Below are 8,176 nucleotides of genomic sequence, written 5' to 3'. Positions count from 1 at the left end.
AGTTGGATAAAATGATTCATGGCCAAGGTTAGTGGTGAGACCTTCCCAGCAAAGTCCAACGACTGTCTGTGCAGAATGCGAAGTGTGAGAGGTGAAAAGGGAAAGAAGTGTGTCTGAGTGCTACACCTGGAACACACGCTGTGCCTCCCTGTGGGTCTGTTTATTGCTTCATGAGATCAATTGTAATCCAACCTAAGAAGGCTACTAGGTTTTTAGGAGGGTTGTACTGCCAGCTAAAGACTTGGTCTCCCCACCTTCTGCAGGCGGGATGTGGCCCTGAACACTGTGCAGCTCCCCCACCCCCGGAGGGCCCCCAGTGTTCACAGGCGGCTCAAGAGGATGAAGGGTGAGGAAGAACCTCCCTGAACTATGAGGAAGAGCAGGCCAGGGTGCTCCTGTCACAGAGCAGAGCCAAGCCTGGTCAGGGCGCAGTTCCCACTCCAGGACGGCCCCTCCAGGGCTGCCCCTGGACTTCATGAGTTCACAGGCCAGAGGCACGTGCCCCTCCTTCCTCTTTCTGATGGGAATGTAACCAGGGGTGTCCCGTTCTCGGCACCATCTCGGCTCTCTATCTTCCCCTTGGGGCATTGGGTGAGACAAAAATCACAAGAGCTCAGTTTTAAGTTCAAGTCCTGAGGTTGCTGCTTGCTGGCTCTGTGACCTTGGGCAAGTTTCTTAACCTCTCTAAGTCCATGCTGCTGCATTTGAGTGAAATAACGTGATTATAGTACCTACGTCATAGAACTGTTAGGAAGTTTAAACACAGTAGTCCAGGTCAGCTCCCTGAGCAGGGTCTGCCCACAGGAAGCTCTCAAGTTTGGCATTTCTCATGCCTGCTGTTGCTTTTCAATTTTACACAGGTAAAAATAGAGTCTACACAGGCGACGGGATGCTCCTGGGAACTTGCAGCCAGCCCAGCCCTCCCTCCAGGATTCAGGCAGCAACAGCTTCCCCAGAGTCGGTTCGGGCTCAGCCACCAGCCCAGCATTTTCCTGGTGCCAAGGTCAGCTCCTCGGCAGGCCCTGAACTTGTGGTTTGGAGAAATAAATGACATGCTGATTACTTAATCCTAAAACAACAGGAATTTTCTCTTTTTTAAGGGGCAATGACAGGAAGCTGGCAACGTTGCAGAACCAGCCACAAGCATCTCGGGCTATGTTCCGGGGGACAGAGCGGGGTGGGGACTGTGCTGCAGAACTGAACCAGGGTTTAGGGCTGGCCTCTCCCTGCACCTTATGGCATCTGTGTCTGGAGGCTCTTCTCCATGCCGAGAATGCAGCTCTGCGCCGTCCACTCGGCTTGTCCCTCCTCCCAGCTCTCCTGGCCTCCTTGTGTCCTGGCGGCACTGGAGCCCTGGGGATGGGCTGCAACTTCGGAAGGAAATTCCCTTGGTGGGCTGCTTCCCTGGTCTCCAGACCTCAGCAAGCCAGGTCATTTGGACTTGACTTCAGGCTCCAAAAAAGTTAATGGTTCACGAAGGGAAAGCACCAAATAGCCGTGGCCGCGAGCCACCGAGTGTACCCGGAGGCGCAGAGACCATTGCCACTAAACTTTGGTTCTGTCAATCATTTGGGCCTTCTCTCATTGGATAATGATACCCCACACACCCACAAACCCTGGGCCAAATCCTGTGTGTGCCCCTGGGGACAGAGGGCTGAGCAGCAAGTGTGGCCCTCGTGGAGCTCAGGGTTACATGGAAGATGCAGGCTTAGGAAGTAACCAGGCAGCCCCAGGAGGAACGGCAGCTTCGAATAAACGAAAGCCAGGACTGAGAGGACATGTGACAGCAGGCCTCTCAAGCACTTCAGCCGCCCCCAGAGGGTGGGACGGGGACCCCCAAAATGTTCCCCGTCTTAACCCGCAGAACCTGTAAACGGAAACTCGCTTAAGACTAGGGTCTTCGCAGATGTGATTCAACTAAGGATCTCAAGATGAGACCATCCCGATTTAGGGTGGGCCCTAAATCCAATGGCTAGTGTCCTTATAAGAGATAGGGGAGGGACACTTAAGCCCCAGAAACCCAGAGAAGAAGGCCATGCAGAGTGGAGGCAGAGGCTGGGGTGAGGCGTCTGCAAGCCAGGAAACACCTGGAGCCACCAGTGACCGAGAGACAAAGAGGGACTCTGCCCTCAAGCCCTCAGGGGGAGCATGGCCCTGCCCACACCTTGACCTTGGATTCCTGTCATCCAGAAGTGTGAGAAAGTAAATTTTTATTGTTTAAGCCCCCAGTTTGTGGTCATTTGTCCCAGCAGCCCCAGGAGACCCATACAACGACCTAAAGAAGAAAATCCGTCTCCCATGCCAGCCCGTGTGAGCATGTCGTCTCTGCGAGTTTGTGCGAGTGTTGCATTGTTGCTGGTGCTGGTCCTCACCTCCCCTTGGTCTGCGAGGAAGACACCTGCAGACACTACTTCTGAGGGTGCCTCAGAGGTGAAGTCTGGAGAATGAGCCTCAGCCAGTTCAACCCTGTCCCCTGCCCCTCCTGGCACCTTCCCACCTGCGTGTCCTTCGGGCTTCCTAGGGCTGCCCATCTCCCTCCCAGAACTGGCTGTAGAATTGCAGGCTGAAAGAACTCAGCAATGATTGGTTCCACCCTCTCATGTTTTCAGAAGAGGAGACTGAGGCTCAGAGAGGCTAACCCATCCGGAGTCATTCAGCAGCGGTGAAGAGAAGGTCCAATTGCACAGAGTCCCTGGGCCACAGTTCACAAGGCCTCGGCCCTGTTTTGCATCCTTAAATCCCCTTGAGGTGGATCTAGGGCTGGGCTGGGCTCCTCTTCAGGCTGAGCAGGCCACCAGGGTTGGCCCCAGTTATCAGCCCTTTCCCAGGGCCGGCTGTTCCTTCGCGGCTCCTCACAGAGCAGCTGGGGGCCCTCTGGGCGGGGAGGACGGCTGTCATTGCACAAAGACCTCTGCGTCTTTGACAACTGAAATGCTCGGTGCTGATTGACAAACGAGCTGGTACCTGAGCGTCTCAAGCGCAGTAATGACACGGAGCGTTCGCTTGAGGGCCACAGGGCAGGCCAGATAAAAACAAAGGGCCCAGACGGACTGGGGGCGGCCCGCCGGCTCAGGGTCCACACTCGGACAGGGAATCAGTCACTCCCGAAGGCTCGGCCCAGGCCTGAGGCCGCGTGCTGGGTGGTCCCATGCAAGCTGCTTGTCAGCTCCTGCTTCTCCCACACCTCGGCTCCTTTCTTTGGGTTCCACACATGTCAGCGTTCCCACCCGTCAATCAGTCATCAACTCAAGTATTTGTTAAGCCAGACACTGCCCCAGGCTAGTAATAATAATAACAACAACAATGACCACAATAGTGAGGATCTTAAAAACTCCCTGGGCTCAAATGCATCCATAACCTCATTTAATGATCACAACAATTTTTTGAAATGGATACTATTGTTATCAGCTTTTATAGATGAGAAAGCTGGGTCACAGAGAGATGAAAGGACTCACGCATTGTCATGTAGTAAGTGTTGGAGGCTGAGTTTGGTAACTTACGTGAGCCCATCTGCCTAGCTCTAGACCATTTTGGCTCATGGAGGGACATGCGGGTGGAAAGTACAGAGTGCTGACCATCTAGGCTTAGTGATCTCAAAAAGAGACATGAAGAAACAGTTTGCCTTCTTCCATTGGAAATTATGAAAGCAGCAAATGACAGCTGGAACCATGGCAACCATTTCGTGATATGGAGGAAGTGGCTGACATACTGAGGATGGTCATTTATGGAAGGAAATGGGCCCAACTGTTTACACACAGCAGAAAAAAACAAGGAAGTGTAGGGACATAATTAATAAATAAAAATACAAAAAAAAAAAAAAAGAAATACAAGACTCTCTTGTTGGCCTTGAAGACACCAGCTGCTATGAGCTTTATAGCTTCAGGGGAAACAATTCTGCCAATAATCTGAGGGCACTTGGAGGAGAATCGTTCCCCAGTTGGGTGTCTGATGAGAATGTGGCCCAGCTGACACCCTGACTGAGCCTTGTGATACCCCGAGCCGGGCACCAGCAAAGCTGCACTCAGACTCTTGACCCACAGAAACTGAGTTAATAAATGTGTGTTGTCTTAAGCCACTAAATTTGTGGTAAATTGTTACACAGTAATAGAAAAACAATACAATGCTTATGGCTAGAACATTTAAACAGTACAGAAAGGAAGACTATGCGAGGTCCAAGTCTGGCTCGTCTCATTCCCCTCATCTCTCTGCAGTGCCTGATGTCCCCTTTCAGAGTCTCTCTAATGTGCATGATAGCCTCAAAGGTGGTAAGGGTTTGTTTTCATGTGTATGTAAGTGATTTCCCCCTTTTACTGCAATAGAATATGTATTACACATGCCTTAAAGAAACCTTTTTTTTTTTAATTTAGCAATGCATTTTACAGCTCTTTTTATTAGCTCTCTCAGGCCTCCTGGATTCTCATTCTTTAATGAAAATGGGTCTGACTAGACCTTTTCCTCCTCAATTCAGAGCATTTTCTCTGGAGAAATGGACTGCAACCAATCTTCCCATTCCAATTTCCGACGGGTGAAGGTTTGGTAGTACCGGCGATAACACTGACTTTCAGGTCTCTGAAAATGATTAGGTCAGCTGATGGATGCTTAGAGCCTATAAAATTCACGAGGCTTCAGATTGTTTCCAGACATTCCAGAGGGAAGAGCAGTGGAAGGATCGTGAGCTTCAAGGCTGTGCCCGCAGAGGAGGAAGAATATGTCACTTCATGGAGGCAGGAGAGGGAGAGAGTAAGTGACTCCACTTTGCTGCTGGGGTACTTTGGCAATTTGAATGCGTTTCGTTGGATTTGTTTTAATTACAAAAGGACCATATGATTCTTTAATTAGCCCAGCAATTCAGAAGCAGATACATTTTAAAAGACAAGCTAGAAATTTGCCTATATACTGGTGAAAGCACACCAAGGGATATGTTCAGGAATAGAATTGCAACATTGCTGGTCATCACCCCCAAACAGAAAGTCTCCCAAAGTCCATTCAAAGAGGACCAGTTAAATACAGCACTTTACTCCCGCATGTGAGGATACCGGACAGCTGTTAGAAACAAAGATGTGCTGGTGTTTAGATGTAGTGAAATATTGTGCAGCAGCGAGAATGAATGAGTCACAACCACAGGCTGCAACACAAATGAATGTCACCTACTCAATGTTGAGTCAAGGAATCTAGAAACAAAAGAACATACTGTATGATTTCATTTATGTATAAAAGCATGAACATAGGCAGAGGGAATGAATACTGTATGGAAGTCAGGATAGTGGTTACTCCGACAGGGCAGGTTTCAGAGAAGGGAGGGCTTCTGGGAGTCGGTGATGTCTGTTTCTCAATTTGGGTGCTGGTTACCTAGGTCACAGCAGCCCCAGGAGACCCATACTGTGACCTAAAGAAGAAAATCCATCTCCCACATGAGCCAGCATGAACACATCCGTGGCAAAAAACGAACATGAGCATGTTCAGTTGACAAAATTCATCCTGTGGCACATTTATGATACGTGTACTTTTGTGTATTTCAATTAGAAATTTTAAAATGTGGTACCTCTTGTAATGACAAAATGCGCCCACATTTGTAACTCAAAACATAGCACATTGTTACAAAATGGTACACTTAGAAATCCAGTGAAAATGGCTATGGATGATTCCAAGTCCCAAAATAAAATAGTTTCATTAAAGAAGGAATTCAGGAGGCCCAAGGGAGCTAATAAAAAAGGGTCATAAGACGCATCCTTAAATGGAAACAGCAGCTTGCGGCCAAACCAGGAAGAACAGAAAGAAGTATCAAGGAAATACAGGTTTGTGTCCTAGCAACAGCCCCAGCTCATATCTCTTTGGCTAGAATGGTGTCACATGACTACTTCTAGCTGCAAGAGAGCCTGGGAAATGTACACTTGCTGAGTTCTGTTGATGAGGAGACAACTGAAAGGATCTTGAGGACATAATGAACTGTCTCCACCACGCTCATAAAAAACAAGACTCACAAAATGCATCTGTTTTCAGTGGGTCACCAGGGATGAGGAAAAAAGGTGCCTTCAGGTTTGAAGTCTGGGTTCTCGGAGGCCTGCACGTGTCTTCTTGACCATCCCATTCATGGGTTCCAGCCACCGGGACTTTCAGGATTGACTGACTATTCAGAGTTATTAGGAATTAAAGCAATTAAGGGCAATTGAGACCAGGAGGAAGAGAAATGACCATTTCTCAAGTACCTCCTGCATGTAAAGCAGTGTGCCTCTGGAAGTTCTCACAATGCCACATGCACCACAAGGCCACATGCACCACAGCCTGGAAAGTGATTTTATAGACAAGGCTACTGGCGGTGAGCACCACGTGCTGATGATGGTAATTTTTATCCGGTGGGTCTTTTATCGGGTGGGTATTTCATGCTGGATGCCACACATCCATGCCCTGTGCCTACATCCCCATAACCATGGTTCTGTGAAGGACGTGACCCTTGGACAAGCAAGGAAAGGAATCCCAGAGAGGCTAACAGCCTGCACAAACTCAAACAGCAGGAATTGAGAACTCAACTCTGTCTCCAAATGTCAGCTCCCAGCCTGCCACCACCCCAACTATCAGAGGCAATTTAGCAGGTTACGGGCCAAGTGGGCAATGCCCTGGAAGACTCTGGAAGGAAACCGAGGACCCAAAAGGTTAAGGAAGCTGGATAAAGCCACACAGTTGCTGGCAGTGGGGGCCAGTACTGAAACCCAGGTCCACTTGATTCCACGGATCGTGCTTTCCCCACCGTGTTCCTGTACCTTTTTCTGTCCATTCACCTGACCCTGGTGGAGCCAAGCAAGCCCTCAGCCCTAAGAGCCATGGAGGGCCAGGTTCTGCATGGAGAATGAGCTCCACATTTCTGGTGCAATCAGTCCTTAGGCATATTAAGGGTCAACCGAAGGGCTCCCCAGAGAGACCCAGAGGTCTGGATTCACAGCAAGGACCCTGTGCCGCCTGCTCCTCCCTGGATCAGATCCTTTGGGCCTCCCATGGTCCAGGTTGCCACTAGGGCACATATGTTGTGCATGTCCACATGTGTGGTGCCTATGCTGCCCGCCACATCCGTCCTTGCTGAAAGATGCACCGAAGCTGGCAGAGACAGCACCTGCAAACGGACCCATGGTGTCCTCTAGCCGCTCTCGGCTGTCGGCTTTTGTCCTGGGCCGCCCTTGCTAATGAGGAGCCCAGGGAAGCCCAGCCGTCATGCCTTGTTATCTTCACTCCTTCTCCAGAAGATCTGGTTTCCCGTCATGTCTTGCCCTGGCCCCTCACAGGCTATTGTGGAATATACAGAGACGCAAAGCTCTTTCGGGATGATTTATGAACCCCTTGCTGGGGGCCCATCTGTCTCCAGGAGACCCCCACTGCTGAAGCCAGGTATTACTGGGGTCACGACCCCGGGAAGGCCACCAGAGGTCAGATAAGGATGGTGTTGAGTCTATCAGCGACCCCTCTGTTGGACAGACCTCGGCGTGATGGGGCTCTGCTTGAGGAATTAGTGAGATTTTTCAGGGGGTCTGTGAGGGAGAGGAGGGGGCATTGCTGGCTGGGGTCACAGGGTCACTGTGCCTCGGTGACTGGGTGAATTTTAGGTCATGAGCTTGCCCCGTGGCTCTGCCAGGCTGCTCACGGATAGGATGGTGCAGGGTCTAGCTTACCCCACAGAGCAATCCCAAGGAACTATGGAGGCAGGGGCAGGTGATTTGAGTTCAAGCTCTAGCACAGTGCCTAGCACAGAGTAGGTGCTCAATAAAGAAGAGCGGAATGAATGAATGCAGGCGTGAGTGAAGACCTTGCTGTATAACCTCGAGGTGGTGCCCATGACTGGTCTCGAGCTGCCCAGTCCCCCTCCACCTTCCTTTGGTCAGAGCACTCGATCTCCTTTAGGGGAAAAATTATCTCTTCTTGTGGATGAAGCCCTGTTCGCTCATGGCCTGCCCTCCCCACGACATGGGGTCCGCCATGACCCAAGCTTAGGCAGCGTGTCCTTCCCCCAAATACGAAATGGACTGTGAGCAGAGGGAAGGAAGAACGAGCAACAGTGGGAATATGTTTGTCACAGCGGGGGCACCGGGTGGTGTTCTTGTTGTGAGGCAGCCCCAGTGCATCCCCATGTCCAGACTCGGCTCTCCAGCCTTCCAGTTCTATACCCAGTGCGTTCCACCAATTATCCCTT

The 8,176-nt window shown here is 50.5% G+C and overlaps 1 annotated feature.

The window, feature by feature from the left end:
* Positions 2,969-3,505: an enhancer, noted in NCBI's record as "H3K4me1 hESC enhancer chr16:86410784-86411320 (GRCh37/hg19 assembly coordinates)". NCBI's record gives its function as "activates a minimal SCP1, AML or CMV promoter by ChIP-STARR-seq in naive H9 embryonic stem cells {active_cell/tissue: H9 hESC(naive)}" and the evidence as "EXISTENCE:reporter gene assay evidence [ECO:0000049][PMID:30033119]".

This window comes from Homo sapiens, chromosome 16, assembly GCF_000001405.40.
Source record: "Homo sapiens chromosome 16, GRCh38.p14 Primary Assembly".
Classification (NCBI taxonomy): Eukaryota; Metazoa; Chordata; class Mammalia; order Primates; family Hominidae; genus Homo; species Homo sapiens.
Note: the sequence above shows the minus strand (reverse complement) of the source record. Positions and strands in the feature narration are given on the sequence as shown.